At 38.7% G+C, this 21,153-nt stretch overlaps 1 long non-coding RNA gene across 1 annotated transcript in view, besides 1 other annotated feature; it reads right to left on the reverse strand.

The window, feature by feature from the left end:
* Positions 1-21,153, reverse strand: part of MIR924HG (MIR924 host gene) — a 545,072-nt gene that overhangs the window by 484,811 nt on the left and 39,108 nt on the right. The gene's annotated exons all lie outside the window — the stretch shown is intronic.
* Positions 8,199-8,700: an enhancer, noted in NCBI's record as "H3K27ac hESC enhancer chr18:37279897-37280398 (GRCh37/hg19 assembly coordinates)". NCBI's record gives its function as "activates a minimal SCP1, AML or CMV promoter by ChIP-STARR-seq in naive H9 embryonic stem cells {active_cell/tissue: H9 hESC(naive)}" and the evidence as "EXISTENCE:reporter gene assay evidence [ECO:0000049][PMID:30033119]".

The raw sequence follows: 21,153 nt of genomic DNA on the forward strand, positions 1-21,153 counted from the left end.
TTGAGCCCAGGAGGTTGAGGCCACAGTGAGCCGAGATCGCGCCACTGCACTCCAGCCTGGGTGACAGAGCAAGACCCTGCCTAAAATAAGATAAAATAAATTAAATAAAATAAAGAAGTTTCGGCCGGGTGCAGTGGCTCACGCCTGTAATCCCAGCACTGTGGGAGGCCGAGACGGGCGGATCTCGAGGTCAGGAGATCGAGACCATCCTGGCGAACACGGTGAAACCCCGTCTCTACTAAAAATACAAAAAAATTAGCCAGTCGTAGTGGCGGGCGCCTGTAGTCCCAGCTACGGAGGCAGGAGAATGGCGTGAGCCCGGGAGGCGGAGCTTGCAGTGAGCCGAGATCGCTCCTCCAGCCTTGGCGACAGAGCGAAACTCCGTCTCAAATAAATAAATAAATAAATAAATAAAAAGAAGTTTCTTGAACCATGATAGGCTACTTGCTACCAAAAACTAGAGAAATACACATGTACATCGGACTAGTTATGGAAGAAAAGGACCTAAAAGTCAGCTTTCTACTTCTTTAACATGGGACAACTGGGTTGAGACTCCCCTCAGTGTAACCAAGTGTTCTGTGGCTGAAATTAGAGCACTTTGTTACACAGATATGAGAAAAAAAAAATCAAAGAATCATCAAGGCAGATACCTACTCATTTCCTTTTTCCTCCTTCTTTCCCTTCCACAAAATACTTTTTTTTTTCCCTGCTGAAAAGCATATTCACAGCCATGGCAAATCCCTCCTCTCAAACCATCTATCAATTTGAAGTGGTTTCTGCTTTACAGTCTGAATCCACCCCTACTTGGAGTTCCTTAGAGGATAAATAGAATGGAAATGCAAAGTGCTAATAACATATACATATCTAACTCTTTTCACAAGGGTATTGTAAAGACTAATGAGTTATTGTTTGAAAAGACTTTGGTGGCTTTCTGATGAAAGGTGGAATATGCATAGAGTTTGGAAGGTTTTATTTTGTTACTGTTGTTGTTATAATTAGAGTAGCTGTATAGTGTGTGAAGCACACCACCAGCCAAGCATCATCTCCTTTCTCCTTCCTTGTTTGTGCTTGAAAAGTAAGCCCGTTGCCCTCTATAGGTCTTGGTTGCGTTAATCACTTTTTATTCTGCTGTCAGACACCATGGGGTAAACTCTGGATTATTTAGTCAGCTGAAAAGCCAAAATCAACATTTTGGAAAATTCCCTGACCTTCCTAACATTCTTCTTCTTTCTTTCACACTCCAACAGAGTATCCCCTCTGTGTGCTAGACTTTCTATTTTGATAATTTGTCTGACTTACTGCATTTGGTAAGGGAGGTCTGGGAAACGAAGTTAAGCATCCCAGAAAGGTTTATTCTGCCCCTTATTAAATGGAAGCTAGTCTTCTTTGCAGACCTCTAATAAGGTTCACGAGCTCAAAAGCATCACTCAAGGATAAGTGTGCATAGGTCTTTGTTGATCTGCATGCTGATTTCTCTAGGTCTTTGACTCTGTGTTCTGGTGGGGGGCTATTTTGCATTTGCTGAATAGTATACCTTTTCCCTGCTGCCCTCCTCTCTCTTGTTATGTATGGGCTGTCTCTATCTAAAATTCCTTATGCTGATTTTCCAGACACATTTATTTATGTTCACTCACTAATTGAAAATCTCATATTTGAAGTTATTATTCTGATTGATGTCTGTCATTTTGATCAAGCAGTAGCTCACAGATGCTTTGTTAGAACAATTTTATAAGTGAGTTTATCATCATGCCTTTCTCTCCTGACCTTCTCCATAGCTGGTAGCAAAAAATCTCAGTGGAGGCTCAGAAAGAGGAGATGTTTGGCAAGCCTCCCAAATTCATTTCATTGTGTCTTCACTACTAAAAGCAATCCTTCTATTTCAGCTGTTGTTAATAGTAATGGAGGAGAGGCAGAGCAGTCAGACTCAGTGCAGGGAAACAAAAATAAGTGGAATGGGGACCTCTCCCCACCAAGAGGAACTCTGTCCCCAAGCTGAGCGCACATTTGTTCTCTCCTACACAGACAACGTTGGGAGGCAGGTGGGGGTGGGGGAGAATGTTTATCAGATTGCTCTTCATAATATCTGAAATACAGAGAAGGTTGAAATTCTGAGCTGCTTTAGGTAAGAGGGCACTGAAAGGTGGTGGAAAGGTACTCAGAAAACCAAGATGTGGAACAGAGAACACATTTTCTACACTTTGCACATTTGCTAAGTCCCATCAATTTTACTTGTTTTGTTGGAAAAAGTGTTTCCTAAAGTATATGTTGTTCTGTAACCAATATATTCTCATTCAAATAAACTGGTTAATGTTATATATGTTATTCTTGTTTTCAAAATTAACAATGCCCATTCATAGTTAAGTTCATTCTATCAAGGAGCTTATTTCAATTTACTTAATCCAAATTTTTTGGAATGTATTTGAATCACTTTTTATTTATCACAAAAATTAACATCCCAAGAAATGATTGCCTTCTGAAACAGTTTTAAATATCTTGTATTAGACCATAGGCCTCTTGTGATTAAATAATTTTATGTATAGAATCATGAACCATTAATATCAGAAGGACCTTGGGCTCATTGAATCCAAATCTGTGCCTAATGCATGCATGGATTTCCTCTTACAATATGAACACTTAGAACTTGCTTAAATGTCTTTTTAAAATCCCACCTCATGAGGAAAGACTCATGAAAGAAAGTGTTCATTTTTGGACAAAGATCCAGATTAAATGAAAATTCTATTTGCTAATCATTTTTAACCACTAACTACAATTTTTCTTAGAAATTCACTTCCAATTTCTTTCATTCATTTAAAAATATTTATTGAAGATCTTTTATGTGACAGGCACTATTCTAGAGATTGGGGATATTTCAGTGAACAAGACTGATGAAGTCCCTGCCCTCATGGAGCTTGCATTCTGTGTTCAAAAACAGACATGAAGCAAGCTCATTAATAAATAAAATAACATTAGGTGGTAATAAAGGATATAGAAAAAAAGAGAAAACCATTTTAGGGACAGAGAAAGAAGAAGGGATAGAAGTATTCTATCTGTTGATCTGTTTGAAGCATTCTGGTTAGGGAAGTTCTCTCTGAGTAGGAGACATTTGAATAGACACCTAAAAAAGGTGAAAGGAAGGTTAGTCTTGCAGCAGGAATGTGGAACAAGGTCCCAACAGCATGAATGAACTGAACTGGAGGAGTAGCAAAAAGGCTCTTGGTCATGAATAAAAACCAAACTATTTTACCTCAAAATATTTTTGACATATTTCTAGATGGTTATTTAGAAAAGCTGGACATGTAAAAATAGCTGAAAAGCTGTCTTTTGTAGGGGAGATTTGCAACTGTAAAGAAAATCTGCCTTGATACAGCCAGGCTTTCTCTGAAGGCCTCACCTTTTCTGGATCTAGGAAAGATTAATTGAGATTCTGACATCTTAAAGGTCTGAAAGAAGCATTTACCATCTATTCTCTCTGAGGATGCTCTCTATGAAATTTCATATGTTTAACAAGACCATCTTTGCTAGCCAGGCCTCCTCTTCTCTCCCTCCCATAACCTGTTTTGCTACCGTAACTTATTTTACCATAATCTAAGCCCCTATTCTTTCTGTAATCTCTAGGTGGTATAAAGGTGTCAACTATCTTCCCTTTCTTTAAGATCTTATAATTTGTTCCACAAAATAATGCCTGCCTCTTGGATTCATTCGAATTCCAAAGAGAATCATTTTGCAAGTTAATTTCTGTCTCCCTGGTTCATTCATTCTCCCTAACAATCACTTAATGCCTCTCAAAAGAATTATCTACATTCTCCATCTCCCCATCCCCTATGAAAAAGGGCATATTAGCTTCTGTACTTCACTGAGGAGTTGGGGTATTCACTTTGTGGTTCTCTCCCCAATACATGTTAATAAATTTGTATTCTTTTTCTCCTATTAACCTGCCTTTTTACAATGAACTTTCAAGAGGCCAAAGGGAAAGTTTTCCAATAACCCCTACAGTAAAAAAGAAAGGAAAGGAAATTGCAGCTGGAGAGTTATCAGAGGCCAGATCTCAGGGGATGTGACACCAGGCTAAGGCCTCTGAATTATGTTCTAGGAGGACAGAAGCCACTGTAAGATTTGTAGCCAATGGATAATATTACTAGCATTAAGTTTTCAGAAGGATCACTTTGACTGCTATGCGGAGAATAGATCATAAAGGCAATAGCAGAAGCAAGAAAACAAGACAGGAGACCAATGCAATCAAGTGAATCCCCAAGACACCTCATTCTTGACAATCTATCATCTTTCCTCTGGGTCTGTGATGCTCTGTACATGCCTCTACTCTAGCTCCATCTACTTTCAGTGGGCTTGACTGCTTAAAAGTCGTTCTCCACCACTCCTGGAAGACGGTCAGCTCTGTAGAGGTAAGGACCATGGTTTACTTCTCTTCCTATCCCTAGAACCAAAGCCAGTGCTGGCCACATACATGAATACCTCAATAAAATCAGGCTGAATTTCTCTACTGCTCCTTACAAGTGGCAGGCCTTAAAACTCTGCATTTGAAGGCAGTAATGTTTATTTCCTTGTTTAAAAAGTAACTTGGAGATCTGTCTCTGCATTTCCACTTGTCAGTTAAAGTCTACCCTCTCTTATGAGGCCATCTGCAACTGTTACCTGTTATCCATGTTGCTAAACCATTTTCAGACCTAGTTTATAGTTTGTTGCATTGGTGAGTATAATTCTGTTACTGTTCTTTCCTAGAGCTTTTGGTCAAAGAAAGCACATATTTGTATCACTTTATCTCCAGACCATGGTGATTAAACCAAATAAGTGATTAAGCAATGCTTACCAAGGAAAGAAATTTGACAAAATGAGCACTATGCACAATTTTGGATTATTGGGGTTTGTTAGTGTTTTAGTCCATTTTCTGCTACAACAGAATACCACAGACTGGTTAATATATAAATAAAAGAGTTTATTTTTCACAGTTCTGGAGGCTGGGAAGTACAAGAGTGTGGTGCCAGCATCTGGCAAGGGCTTTTGTACTGAATTATCCCATGGCAGAACGGCAAGTGGGCATGTGAAATAGAGAGAGAAAATTGGGCAGAACTCCACCCTTTTTTCTGGATCCCACTCCCATGACAAGGAATCCCTCTTACAATAACAGCATTAATTCACTGATAAGGGCAGAGTCCTCATGAGCTAATCACCTTTTAAAAATGTCACCTCTTAATACTATTATAATGGCAATTAAGTTTCCAACATGTGAATTTTGAGGGACATATTCAAATTATATCATTTAGTTTAGTGAATAATTATTCTCTTCTATTTGTTTGGGGTCAAACACTACTACAGTATTTTATAGTAACTAAGAGAACTTGCATCCGAAAAAAATGGGGAGCATGGACCTAGATGAGATGGCAAAAAATATAATGCAAGTTTTTTTTTTAATATAACCATGGTTTATGGGGTATTCTGAAGAAAGGAAAAGCATTTTGTAGTATTTTATAAATTTGATGTAGCTTTGAAAAAACCTTTCCAAATATAGTCATATAATCATATTAGAATTACTTAGTGTGATAGTTAATGTTAGGTGTCAACTTGAGTGAACTAAGAGATACCCAGGTAGCTGATATAGCATTATTTCAAGGTATGTCTGTGAGGGTGTTTCCAGATGAGATGGGCATTTGAATTAGTGAACCGAGTAAGGAAGATCTACCCTCCTCCAAAGTGGGTGAGCACTATCCAGTCTATCTAGACGGTCTGGATAGAAAAAAAGGCAGAGGAGGCTGAGGTGGGTGGATCACTTGAGGTCAGGACTAACATGGAGAAATCCCGTCTCTACTAAACATACAAAATTAGCTGGGCATGGTGGCACATGCCTGTAATCCCAGCTACTCGGGAGGCTGAGGCAGGAGAATCCCTTCAACCTGGGAGGTGGAGGTTGCAGTGAGCTGAGATTGCGCCATTGCACTCCAGCCTGGGCAACAAGAGTGAAATTCCATCTCAAAAATTAAAAAAAAAAAAGAAAGAAAGAAAGGCAGAGGAATGGCAAATCTGCTCTTTCTTTATTCTGGACCTGGAACCCCCCTTCTCCTTCTCTTGGTTCTAGTTCCTTTGGCCCTCGGACTCTAGGAACTGCACCAGTGGACCCCTAGCTTCTCAGGCCTTCACGCTTGGACTGAGAGTTACATCATCTACTTCACTGGTTCTGAAACTTCTGGACTTGAACTCAGCCATGCTACCAGCTTCCCTCGTTCTCCATCTTGCTGACGGCCAATCATGGGATTTCTCAGCCTCCACTTAATCAAGTGAGCAAGTTTCTCTAATAAATCCTCTTCATCTACCTACCTACCTACCTACCTACCTATCTCCTATTAGTTCTGTCTCTCTGGAGAACCCTGACTAATATAGTTAGTAAAGACTAGGTATAGTTTCCAAATCAGAGACTTATTTGACCTAGATAAATGGAAACAGAACTAGGAGATTCGAGGTAAGATCAGAAATTACAAATAGTATTGCACATTCTGAGAACTCCAAATCACAATTATCAAAAATTACTAAAAAAACAAGCTTAAATAATGGGCTCAAAAATTATGAAGGTTTATTGAGTAGAAATTGTTGAGATTTAGTTCAAAAACTAAAAGCTTTGGACAGGAAAGGAATCATGAAAAGAAAAAGTTTTATATGGCATAAGACATATATCAATAATATTTGTGGATGCATTTAACTAGAGTCCAAATCCAGTGGCCGATTAACTCCAACCGTTTTTTTGATTTCTCAGGGTAGTAACCAGCTGAGCTGTTAAGCCAGTCAAGGAAAAGTATATTATTTCCATCCTCTTTTTAAACACTCTATAAAGAACCCTCTCGTTCATAATAGCTTTGTTTACTGCATAGTACAGCATGTTCTAATTATCACCCCTGCCTCACTAACCACACAGCTTATGTTCCCACACTCATCTGTTATTTTTATGCCTCCTACAGAAATGAAGAGAACATTAATAAGAATAATACTTGGAAGATAATATTTTTGGTAAAATTAGGAAAAAATATGGCTGACAATATAGGAAATAGAGCTTTTCAGTTAAATTGAAATGACCCAGCACTAGCAGTACGCTTTCTTCGCTGTTTTCATTTATGATTTGCTGTCAGTCCATAATCTGTTTCTTTTCCTCTTTACTCGGATGATTTATTTGGTTACGATTTTATTTGGCTGTTTATTTTTTTCTGTCACTAAATTTGCTTCACTTTTTTCCCCATATATTTCTTTTACCTTGAGAATTTCTTCCACCTTTCTTGCTTTTTCCATATTTTGAAATTCTAACTTTCATTTGCTTTTGGTTTATATTTTTCTCAATTTCTTATTTGCCTTTTTATCTCCCTGCTTTCTCTCTCTTCTTCTATCATCTACCTGTAATAACTTCTCTAATGTATGCACAGAAAATATCTTTTTGTACCTCTGATGGGCAAAAAATGTATATACATATATATTGATATGGGAATTAATACATTTTCAGCACAAGAAATGGGACCAGCGGGAATGTCAAATGGAACATTAAAACATTTAAAAATCACTACATTAGCTGAGCAAGGCTTAAATAATATTTGCATGGCAAAGAGTCTAAATAAAGAAGCAAGAATAATGAAGTAATAGAAAAAGAAAATGGCTATAAAATGATCCTTTGAAAAAGTAATATGTTGGAACAGAATTGCACCAATCTTTCCAATCTGTAAAAGGTGGAGTCAATATGCCTTTTACACACAGTCTTTCCTAACATTTAAAATATGTATGTGCATAAATATTTCTTATAAGACTAAGGAGGCAACAGGTCTCACCTCATTAAGAACCATGTTTGCTGTGCTGCTGATTTCACCATTCAAATAGTGGTTACTGCTTGCAGGGATATTTTCCATGATAGAAATCTTAAATGGATGGGGAGGGAAAAAGAAAAAAAAAAAAAACAAGAGAAGAAGATTGCTAATTAAAAGGGAAAGAAACAACAAGGCGGGATACATCAGTCCGTGGATACACACATTTTCAGCGATGACTCAGGAACACGTTTGGGTAGATTACGTCAACTCTTCCCTCAATAGTTGAATCTAATCATCCCTGTGAATTGATTGGAGTTTGAAAAAATAGCAACTAAGCCTTCTTTCACATGCTTATAATCAGCTCTTGGAAATGTTGCACTTTAGATAAAATGATAGAAATAAATCTGCACATTGATATGGTACAGATATATTTCACTGAGTACACAGAAATTATTTGCATGTAGAGCAATTAAGTGGTGCATAGCCACCTATCCCTGCTCCTAAAGGGGAAAAGCCTTTGCTGGGGTGGAAGAGGAGGATAATGGAAAGGCTAGCCCAGTGATGTCTCTGTCATCCTCTGCATCCACTGTCAGATTGAGCACTGGTTCTAGTCCTGCTTCCCAAGGCTCACATTGACAGTAGCATCTTCCTTTCTCCATCCCCAGCCAGCAACTCTCAAACAAGGCTATTGTATTATGTTACTGTGATACTGGTAAAATGAAGTGAGCAACCTTTTTCTTCCACCTAGGATATTCCTGACCCAAGCAACCATCCATCATTCTTCTTTGCTTCCCCAAAGCACATGTTGCAGAGGAAAGCTACTGTGAGGACAGAGGAGGTGCAGCATAGGCAAAAGACAGACTTACAATGGCCTCCTACCTCAGTGCAAGAAGCCCAATCCCCAGGCCCCGGCCTAACTTAGCTTCCAGACAAAGACAACTGTACCCACAATGCCGATAGCAGGAAAAACTCTTAGACCTTATTCCAAGAGACACACTCCACACACAACATATCCAGACAATACCTGATATTCAGGAAACAGGAAGACTGTCATCATCTAGTTGCATTCTTGCTTGACCAGACATCTCACAGTGGGGGTGGTGGGGAACCACCAGGGCAGGAGAGGGCCATGCTCCATTCATGGGCTGGGGGTGGGGTTCTAGAAAATAGGGTGGAACTAGGAAAGTGTGGAATGGTACTAAAACCAATCATATAGCTGAGTGTTGAGGAATTAATGACTGAGGTAATTTACAAGTGCTCAAGGTTCCTGGAATCAGGATCTATGTCAGCTTGTCACAAAGGAGACTGGAATGTATTTGTATGGGAGAGAAGGGCAGTGCAGAGGTAGAGGATGTGAAGAAATAAGAAATTGTGTGGATCAACTGCATCAGGGACCTTGGCCCTTGGGCCTTGGCCTGAGGTTTAATTCTAAATTTTAACAGCTTTAAGTCTATGTAGAAGCGACGTAGCAGAGTGGGGGCATCGAAATATTACCCACTACTTTTCAAACACTGCTTAGAACTCAGTCTGTTGTTGGGAGCACTAATGAATGACAAAAACAAGGAGAAAAACTCCAAAGCTGCTCAGGGTCTATCTCTGTAACGTGAGGTATGAAAAGGACAAATTGCAAGAGCCATGGCTTCCTCTTCTCTGCCCAGCTTGAAATCAGAGTGTCTCCCAGGTCACACGCTATTTTCCCTGCTCTCTCCCAAATTAAGACTCTAGAGGAGAAGCTTGTTGTTGCTATGGTTACACCAAAGCTAGTGCATCAATACAAATGCATTCCTTTGAAAACATCCTCAGCTGTAACCTATCAGAACTGGTTTGCTGAGGAATCCATAGTTCCTTAAAGACATTTATGGAGAAGAAAATATTTCTGTGTTCAGGTTGGTGATGTAACGTTGCTTTGCTCTGCTTGGTTTGAGTGAAGAAACCATTTCCTTGTCAAATATACAGAAGTGGAGGGTTTCCCATGCAGTAAAATCCAATCATTTATCCACCAGAGCTCGGCACATGCATCATTGGCCAAGGGATGGTATGTTGAGGGAAGCACACACCACCTAAAAATCTTGTTCTTGCTCACCCTCAATGACTAAGACCATTAATGACATAATGGCCTTCTCACATCTACCTTCTACCCAATTAAAACCAGTTTTGGACTATGAGATAGAATCTCCCACTTCTTGCAAATGCTAGGACAAACAATTCTCATGCTAAAAAGTAAAAGGATAATTCATTCTGGTATCTTAAATTAAAAAGACTTATCAGGAAACATTTTCAGGATTTGTATTCAAAGGGAAATAAATGCATCCTCTGTAATTTCATATGCTTTATAAAAATATGCAGAATATCCTTCAGTTCACTCTATCTGTATGCAAAAAAAATTGTTTAAAAAAAGGGATTTTTTTCTCCTTTGTTAAATAGGATTGAGTTGCTTTAGATTTTTTTCCCCTTTCCCTCCTCAGGTCTTCCTGTCAGCTGTTACTATCAGCAATGATTAACCATAAACAAACACTGTGATTCATCAAGAACTGATAGACTCATTGTGGATATCAACCTTCCTCAGTCTCACGATCAGATTAGGTAGGAAGCCAGGACAACCTCATACAGAGATCTATATAGCTGAGTTTACGTAATTTATTTATTGTCCTATAATTACTGAATAAAATGTATATGTTTCTATGTCTGCATCTAAACTATTATTTTCTGAAACATAAAGGTTTGTAAAGGAATTATGCAGTTAGGTATAAAAATGTTTGTACTCCACCTTCCTGGAACTCCAAACAAAATCACTCAGAAACTAACAGTTTACCACAGAAATTCAGCCTACCCAGCTCACCAGCTTACTGGAGCTCATATGAAAATCTTCCCAGCAAGATCCCCACCATATTTGTGCTGCCTCCAGATGTGTCTATAAAAGGCTTAAAGTCCAATAAGATACATTGAAAATTATTTTCTCCTGAACACCAGAAAGCAGAAGACAGTTGGTCTTGGGACACCGGAAACCTAATTTCTCTATGGACCTGAGGAAGAACCCAACTCAGTTTAAAATTCTTGCACTTGACTCCCTCCACCTTGCTGCATCCCAAACTTCCTACCTGAGAGGTGAAGAATTTCTGTCTTTTCAGAAATTTCAAATCTTGAATATACAGAATTTTCAAAACTGTATATTCTTTAGAAATTCTCTCCTGTCTTTATTTCTATGACTCATTGAACACTCTTGTTTCACCTCTTACTCTTTTTTCTCAGTCTCATCCCTCTCCTCCCACTTCTACTGTATGTGTGCATACACTCACACACACACACATGCTCCTCCCCCTCCTAGAATATAAATGTGAAATATATATTCTATATTGAAATATATATTATATATTAAAATATATAAATATATAAGCATATAAATACATATTTAAACTGCAAGGTTTTTGTTTGTTTGCAATAGGGTCGATATAGTTTGACTCAGTGTCTCCACCCAAATCTCATGTTGAATTGTAATCACCACATGTTGAAAGAGGGCCTAGTAGGAGGTGATTGAATCATGGGGCAGACTTCCCTTTTGCTGTTCTTGTGATGGAGCTCTCAGGAGATCTGGTTGTTTAAAAGTGCAGCACTTCCCCCTTCACTCTCCCTCCTCTCGCCACGTGAAGATGTGCTTGCTTCCCCTTCACCTTCCACAATGATTGTAAGTTTCCTGAGGCTTCCCCAGCCATGCCTCCTGTACAACCTATGGAACTGTGAGTCAATTAAACCTCTTTTCTGCATAAATTACACAGTCTAAGGTAGTTCTTTATAGCAGTGTGACAATGGACAAATATAGGGGTCTTGTTATATTGTATGTTGCCCCGGCTTATCTCAAACTCCCAGGCTCAAGTGATCCTCCCCACCTAGCCTTCCTAGTAGCTGGGATTACAGATGCTTGCCATCATGCCTGGCTCTTTCATGTGTTTTATGTAACCACTTTGTACTAGGTTCCTCTTGCTGCTGCAAAAAATAATAATAATTTTTTTAAAATACCAGAAACTTAATGGTTTAAAACAGTAAGAATTTATTCTCTTATAGTTCTGGAGGCCAGAAGTCTGAAATCAGTTATTTCTGGGCTAAATTCAAGGTGTCAGCAGGGTTGGTTCTTTGTGAAGGCTCTAGGTGAGAATCTGTTCTTTGACTCTTCCATATTCTAAAGGCTTCCAGCATTCCCTGAGTTGTGGCTGTATCACTCTAATCTTTGCTTCCATCATCACATAGCCTTTTCTTCATCTGTAGTCAATCTCCTTCTGCCTCCTTCCATAAGGACACGTGTGATTACATTTACAGCCCACCAGAATAGTCTAGGATAATCTTCCCTTTCCCAGGTCCTGAATTTACTTAAATCTGAAAAGTCTCTCTCTCTCTCTCTCTCTTTTTTTTTTTTTTTTGAGATAGAGTCTCACTGTGTCACCCAGGCTAGAGTGCAGTGGTGCAATCTAGGCTCACTGAAGCCTCCACCTTCTGGGTTCAAGCGATTCTCTTGCCTCAGCCTCCAGAATAGCCAGGATTACAGGTGCCACCATTCCTGGCTAGTTTTTATACTTTTAGTACAGACAGGGTTTCACCACATTGGCCAGGCTGGTCTCAAGCTCCTGACCTCAAGTGATCTGCCTGCCTCAGCCTCCCAAAGTGCTGGGGTTTTAGGTATGAGCCACCACACCCAGCCTGAAAAGTCTCTTTTGGCCTAGAAGGTACCAACCACTGGTTCAAAGCATGAATATATGGATATCTTTGGGGGTCATTATTCAGTCTATTATGCCCTGCTTTCTCTGATCTTTTGCTTATGCTCTTTGTGGTAATATCTTCTCTCTCTGATTGCCTTCTTTATTCAGAGGACTTCTATTGTGAATATCCAGGGGAGATTGTTGATCTAATACCCAACCCTGACTTTACAAGTAGCTGTTGTACTGTTACCCTCAGATGATATGAACAAAGCAAACTGAAAACACTTGAAATTTAAATCAAAGAATTTTTCCTCTTTCCCTCACAGAGACAGAAAAGTATCTCTCATTTTCATTGTTACCTATTTTTGAGCCTTGGATAATATTGACTCAGACATTTCCCTTTTCCCCATAACTTTTCTCAGTTAGAGTCTAGAGAATCTTCCTTTGATGTAAATTATGCTCTCCCTGGTGTCTTTCCAATGGCTGCCACAGTTAAAATCCCTATTGTACTGTGCCTCACATTATTTTAACAACCTCTTAATGAATTTCTCTGCCCCTAGTCTCTCCCTGTTCCACCTTATCATGTATATGCTTCTGGAAGAGTTGTCCTTTCCAATTACTTTGACTAGTGTCATTTTCTTCCTCAAAACCTTCAATGGTTTCTCAATGCCCCAAGTCCCAAATTTTTAAGCCTTCATCCAACTAAAGTAGTCACCCCTACTTTTTCAGATGCACACTATTTTCTGCTATTAATAATCTCTACTTATTACAAGCAATCCTGTAGACTCCCCTTTGTGGATTTACTGATGTGATTCTTTAACCTTGAAATCACTTCTCAGACATTCTTCTCTCTAAAGTTCATATCAAGTGCTTTCCCCGATCACTCAAGCCAGCTACCTCTTTTCTTAAAGTAAAATTATTTTATGGCAAATTCCTCTATATACACTTATAAGTATTAGATATTCAGAACATATTTGTTACATAGATTAACCAGAAAAGTGCCTAGAAAGTGGAAATAAGTAAGGTATGATTCACAAAACCTTTACTATTTCAAATGTTTGCAATATGTATTCTTTTGAATGAGCCAGAAAACATTTTCTCATAGGAATGTTTAAAAATTCTCTCACATGACTTTTTAAAATTGACTTTTAATTTTCTTGGGCATCAGTTTCTCAACTAACTTATCTTGGGCCTGCATTTCAAAAGCAGGAAGGAAACTTCACACACACAAAAATTAAAGTTCTGTCTTTCTTATCTTTTGCATATCAACTGAGTTTGATGGATACCAAGAGACATATATCAGATGCTGAGCAGGATCCCATTGAGAGTTCCCATGGCACTTCAGTCACTTAGTCATGATCTATGCTCTCAACAGTTGAAGATAATGACTTCAGGAACAATCTTTCACAGGTTTCACATTAAATGAGACGAAAGTGCAGGCGCGGCATTAAAGCACCTTGTTATTTGCAGAGTACTTAGAGTAACCTTAAATATGGAGATGATCAAATTTCATGACCTTTAGTTTTAATTCTTCCATCTTATCTTTGTGTGCAATTCCTATTTTTAATAAAGATGTGTGTATGTATGTGAGTGTGTATGTGCGTGTTTCTGCCTAAATTAACTTAGACACTTAATACATTAACACTTTAGAGTTAAACACAAAAGCCTGAAAATGACAATATAAATATGCTTATTTTTATTGTAAGCTTATCTATATTACTTTTATGACTGTATACTTTTAAGAGACTATTATTTTTAAAGTGTGCTGGGGCACATTACAATATTAAAAGACTCAATCTTTGATTTTCTTTTTATTGCTTTGCATATTTCAGTTTATAATAAAATGAAGAGCTAGCTCATTAAATTCTATTTTTGACAAGATGTTTTATTTTTAAGATTAGTCACTAATAGAAAACTCTCCTATGACAACAATGGAAAAGCCTTCTCTAGAGTATTAAACAGTTCTCAAAAGATGGTAAAAGAATTTGAAAAGAATAGGCCCTAAGAGAGTGAATTTGTGTATATTTGTCCAGAAAAAATCACATATTCTTGTTGAAATCCATAAGCACACAGCAAATAAGTGCTTACTACATTTGATGAACTAATATCCATAGGTCCACATAGATCAACAAGATAAAGTATCATGCCACACACCTGAAGAAAATAATATTCCTCAAGCTCCATTCCCAGTAAAAACTGAGAATGTGAACTTCCTCATAATAGTACTAGAATAATTGTGAGGCTGAGGCAGAAGGATCGCTTCTTCCCAGGAGTTGGAGGCTATAGTGAGCTATGATTGCACCACTGCACTCTAGCCTGAGTGACACAGTGAAACCCTGTGTCAAAACAAAGTGTTTATATAGATAAATATATATATATATATATATATATATATATATATATATATATACACACATATATAAAATTTGAAGTTTTTTAAAAGCACTGGAATAAATAACATCTTGCATTTAAGGCCTTTCTGACTAAATCTACCCAAGTTACATAACTCATATACTGTCTGCTGCAAATGGACCCTAAAACAGCATTCTGGTTTGTAGAAAATATCAGTGAATAAAAACAAGAAAGAGAAAGAAGCAGAGAGAAAGGAGAGAGAACAGTAAACCCGGGTTAACCTAAATAATATACATATTTTTATTTTTTATTATTATGATTTGTTGAGACGGCGTCTTGCCCTGTCCCCCAGGCTGGAGTGCAGTGGTGCAATCTCAGCTCACTGCAACCTCTCAGCTCAAAGGATTCTTGTGCTTCAGCCTCCCGAGTAGCTGGGATTACAGGTGTGCACCATCACGCTTGGCTAATTTTTTTGTATTTTTAGTAGAGGCGGGGTTTCACCATGTTGGCCAGACTGGACTAGAACTCCTGGCCTCAAGTCATCTGCCTGCTTTGGCCTCCTAAAATGATGGGATTACAGATGGTAGCCACTGTGCCTAGCCAATATATGTATTTTTAAATACTCCTGCAGTAGAAAATAATTTGACATACTTTTTTCACTTTTTTTTGTTTGTTTAAAGACTTCACTGTTTTATATAGAAGTTTTAAGTTCACAGCACAATTAACTGGAAGGTACAGAAATTTCCTATATACCCCTGCCCACCCCAATATGCATAGCCTCTCTTATTATCAGTGTCCCCTGCCAGAATGGTCTATTTGTTACAATTGATGAAGCAACATTGATACATCATAATCTCCCAAGGAGACTAAAGTCCTGTAGGTACATATAGGACCTATCGGACTACAGGTACAGCTAATAAACTGCCCATCTCCTGTGTTTCAATGTAAAGATCATCCAAAGACTGATTCTCTTTGGGTTACCATACTTGCCTGTTTGGATTTTTGAAATCTACTGATGAAATGGGAAAAGTCCCCTTATACTCCTCACAGGGCATGCGATGGGGATGCGGCTCATTTCTTTGGTGTCCCACTGCTCAAATTTCTAGGGGGAGCATGAAGACTGGCAGGTTGTGGGGCTCCAACCCCACAGCAGTGTCTGGGGTGAATGTTGACAGCTGAAACCCAGTGGACGTGTGTTACAGTATGCTCTTTCAGTTTAGCCAACTATAGGTGGCTTGTGTTAGTCAGCTCAGTTAGACCCTCTGCCTTATTGCAAGGACAGAAGGCTTTCTGTATGCCGGGGTTTCTTGCCTTGGTGTACCAGAAGAATTGGATCACACATGGACTTGAAGAGTGAATGCAAGGTTTTATTGAGTGCAGGCAGTCTCAGCAGATGGAGGAGCCAGAAGGGAGATGGAAGAGGAAGGTGGTTTTCTTCTGGAGTGGGGCTACTCAGCAGCCGGGTTCTCCTCCGACTGCCCTGGCCAAACTCCACATCATTTTGCCAACTGATGGCCTGCCGGCCTGCAGGCACCTGTCAGTGTGCTCTTACATTGGTGCGTTCCTCTCGACATCCAGTCACTTGTGTCTTCTTGGGCTGGTGTGTTTCTCTCTAAGTCCAGCCACTTGTGTCTCTGCCCACTAGGGTCTTGGGGTTTTTACAGGCACAGGATGACGGCAAGGCAGGTCAGGGTGGATTTGGCCATGAAAACAGAAATGCCTGTCCTCACCTAGCTCCGTAGGCAAAGGCCCAAGATAGAGCCCTAGCCACGGACTACGCCCTTCCCTTTCCAGCACTTCCCTGCCCCCATCCCTATCACTTATATGGGCTGACATAACACATTAGCAACAAGAAAAGTTCACAGAAAGACAAGTGTGAGAAAGTATGCCAAAGTCCATTGTTTACATGTTAGTGTTCACTCTTGATATATTTTGTATAATGACATATTTCTACCATTATATTATAATACAGAGTATTTTATGGCCCTAAACATCTTCTGTGCTCTGCCTGATCATCCCTCACTCCCCGTTAACCCCTGGCAACAACTGATCTTTTTAGTGACTCCACAGTTGCACCTTTTCCAGAATGTCATATTAGAATCACATAATATGTATCCTTTGGAGTTTGGCTTCTTTACTTAGTAATATGCATTTAGGTTTCCTCCATGTTTTTTCATGCTTCATAGCTCATTTCTTTTTAGAGCTGAATAATATTCTACTGTCTGGATATGCCACAGCTTATATATTTATTCACCTGCTGAAGGGCATTTGATTGCTTCCAAGTTTGGGAAATTATGAATAAAGATGCTATAAATATTTGTGTACAAGTTTTCACGTGAACATGTTTCCAACACCTTTAGGAGCATGACTGAAGGACCATATGTTAAGAGTATGTTTATTTTCCCTTTCTTCACTTTTAAATAAGATTTAAGCAAAGCTCTCAATAATCAAATGTTTCTCTTTTTTTGTATAATATGACTCATTGTTTTCCCTCTCTATTTTGTGCTATGATATGGTTTGGCTCCGGGTCGCCACCCAAATCTCATCTCAAATTGTAATTCCCACATGTTGAGGGAGAGGGGTGTTTGGATCATGGGAGTGGTTTCCCCCATGCTGCTCTCATGAGAGTGAGTGTGTTCTCACAAGATCTGAAGGTTTTATAAGGCATTCTTCCCCTTTTGCCTTCTTCTCTCTCCTGCTGCCAAGTAGGATGTGCCTACTTCCCATATGGCCATCATTGTAAGTTTCCTGAGGCCTCCCCAGGCATGTGCAACTGTAAGTCAATTAAACTTATTTCCTTTATAAATTACCCCATCTCGGGTATTTCTTTATAGCAGTGTGAAAATGGACTAATACGTGCTACTATCAGAGATAACCTGATATACCTATTTTGCTACCTGGCTACTTCCAAGTAAATTTATCAGTAAGAGAGCAGACTGTCCTGAATTCTCTCATGTTATAGCTGGTTGTTCTGAGAAAGACACTGCAATCTACATTCAGTTGTATACGGTCCCTAACAACATCATTATCAATTTCCCTTCCCAGTTCACTCTTGATCTTCTCCTAATTATGTATGTATTTTCCAAGTGTTTTTGTATCCTTTTCATGTATGTTTCCTTGTTTTGCTATTAAAAATGTAAGTTCATTGAGGGAAATCACTGTATCATGCAATCATGTTGGAATTTTGGGCTTTATCAACACAAGATAGGTAAATATATTATTTGCAGGCAATGAATGTTGTTAACTGACCGGCAACCATTTATTTCCTAAATAAAAATGTCACATTACGAAGTGGATTTTGAAAGACTCTGAAGATTACTCCTGAAACTTGGCACCTCCTCCAAGTTAACATAGTCACATTTATAGGACTATAGGTACAGCTAATAAACTGCCCATCTCCTATGTTTCAATTTAAAGATCTTCCAAAGGCTGGTTCTCTTTGGGTCACCACACTTGCCAGTTTGGACTTTTGAAACCTACTAACATGGGCTGACATAACAAATTAGCAACAAGAAAAGTTCACAGAAGGACAAGTGTGAGAAAGTGTGCCAAATATATTAGCATTCGTTTTGCAACCTTGTCTCCAGTTTGTGTGAAGTTGATGGCTGGAGGTTACGCTTTCATTAAAAATTGACAACATTTTAAATGCTAATCAAAACTGCTTGTACTTTCTACTTCTATTTATCTTGAAAGGGCAAAAAAAGAGAGAAGGAAAAAAAAGATGGCTTGCTTTGAACTGCAACAAATATTCTCTCCATTGCCCCCCAGACCCCATTGCCTCCTCCTGTGTAGGACAGATAAGAGCTATGCAGATTGAGTGTCAGGACCTCAGCCTGAAGTGTGAAGGCACCACAACGCGAGTTAGAGATGTGTTTTCCAGAGGACAAGAGAGGAAGATGTGTGTGTGTGTGTGTGTGTGTGTGTGTGTGTGTGTGTGTGTACGAAGGGGTGGCCTTTTCATGTGAGTCTTTTTGATTGTTGAGGAAGAATTGTGGAGGTGTAGTTGGCTTTACAGTGGGTAAAAGGGAGAAACACATATTTTCAGAAAAGAAGAGCCATATGGTATGTGAGCAAATAACAAAATCAGAAATTATAAAATTAAAGAAGAAGGGTAAAAAAGCTGTCTCAAGCATGGAAAGCAAAGAATGATCACTGGTGAACCATCAGAAATAGTATACTTCATTTCAGACCATCCTCAGGAAGGAGTGAAGAGGGTGCAGGAAAATGCTTGACTCAAATTTTTATACAAATCTAAGGCTGAGAGTGTGCAGAACAGTGCTTTTCAGTGTTCTACATGGAATTACTTTCTTTTCACTCATTGTTGTCTGGCTCTTCAGAGCTCCAGAAGATACTAAAAATAGAGGAGAGTGAAAATACAATTCAAAGGGAAAATATTTCAGAATTTAGTATACAATGAAAGATAGCCTATATTTAAAAGCAGAAATTGTTCAGTTAGTTTAGTTGGGCTTCCTGGTTAAATCAAGTTACAAACTTAAATGTTTAATCTGTTACTAAATTAATGATTCATTGGACCAACAAGCCTAAGTGTGTGTGTGTGTGTTTGTCCACATGTGTATGCATATGCGTGGATGCATGTGTATGTGTAATTTTGTCAAAAGAGCTTAGTAACCTATAACTAAGAGGGTATGAATAGAATAGTTCTCCTCAATGCAGACCTATGATTTAAATCTGTGTTTCTCAAATGGTGCCCTATTTGTATTCTCTACAGTATAATTATTTGCTAGGTAGAACTCTCCTGCGAATGTCAGAAATGTGCTGTTCAAGATGCCACTGAGAATGGCGAGACATCAACCTGGAAAGATTTTACCACCATCATTCATCATTTCCTCATCCTCTTCCTCTTCATCTCCTTTTTTCTACCATTTTATCCCTTCCATCCCCTTTATCTCCTTTGTCTCCTTCATCGTCATCAGGTGCTGCAATGAAGTTAATGTGCCTCATCTCATTTAATTATTCCAACAATTTGGACACATAAGTACTATTACCTCTAATACAAACTGGGACATTGAAGGTTAAGTCATCTTTCCAGTGAGGGCTGAGCTAGAACTTAAAACCCGACATAGGTGAAAATAAGGCAAAGGCTCTCTACCATTAAACTAAAACCAGACCTTCCTTAGTAACCCATTACTGATCTTTATTCAGATATGAATCTTTGTCTGAGTCTATTTATATTTTTAATGAATAGCAAAATTTGGATAATGAGTTCCATAAGTTTATCCCCCACTGTGTTAAAAAATAGTTCTTTCCATTTATCCTAAATCCTCCTTTTTTAAGCTTCAAAGGGGACCCTTTGTTCTGGAATTTGATGAATAAGACCATCTCAATTCTCTCTATTCTTTTCAGTTTTATAGACTTGTAGACTTTGAGTCTATTCAGCTTTGACTTTTACAGACTGAAGAGCCTGATTATATGATATCCTCAAAGAAAATATCTCCATTTATTTGGTCACTTTCATTGCTGTATTCTCTAAACTGTCTCTAGCTATCTTTGAAACAAAAGACAGTTTAAACATAACACAACCAAGTAGAGCATGGCTAATGCCTGAAGTGGAGCTTGGCAACGTGGACTGGGCTGCGTTGTCACTAACCTTTCTATTAAGGTAATATCATAGCTAACCTAACACCTGAGGCTCAGTTTGTGCCTGCAGGAAAAGCATGATTTTAAATAAATGCAGATTATTCACTGCTCCAATAAAACGGCTCCTTTTTTTTCCCCCAGATTTTGAAATCTGATTTTAAAGGTTGTTCGACTGTTTGAAAATACAAATGGCCTATAGGAAGGGCAGTGCATCACTGTTCTGTTTTGTCTTTTTAATTATTAAAATCTCCACATGTTGTCATATTCCTGAAACTGGATTTCTGAATTATATTGTAATATGGAGAGACGTCAATATTTCTAGAGCTCCTGGCCCTGCTTGAGAAAACTAGATGGGAGAAAACACTCCACTGACTCTGCTGGGGAAGAAAGAAGTGGCACAAAGTCATTACATCTGACAGTGGACAGTGGCTCTTGAAGGTGTGCCAGAAGTAGGGTAAGGGCCAATGAAGGTAAAAGGAAAGGCATAATTCACCTGAAAATAACGTTGTCTTTCCCACCAAGGCAGCTGAAGGTACAAATATTTCTTCCAGATTTGCTTCCATCTTTGTATGCGGCTACTCACTGTGCTTGGCTTAAAATCGCCATGCTTGAGTTTTCTGAGCTCAAAGACCATCTGATACCTGGATTTGTGTGAGGAAAACAGCTTGCAAAAATTACAGGGAGGTGCTTTGCATCAATAAATGCAATTTATATGCTAAATAATC

The sequence above is a fragment of the Homo sapiens genome, chromosome 18 (assembly GCF_000001405.40).
Source record: "Homo sapiens chromosome 18, GRCh38.p14 Primary Assembly".
NCBI lineage: Eukaryota > Metazoa > Chordata > Mammalia > Primates > Hominidae > Homo > Homo sapiens.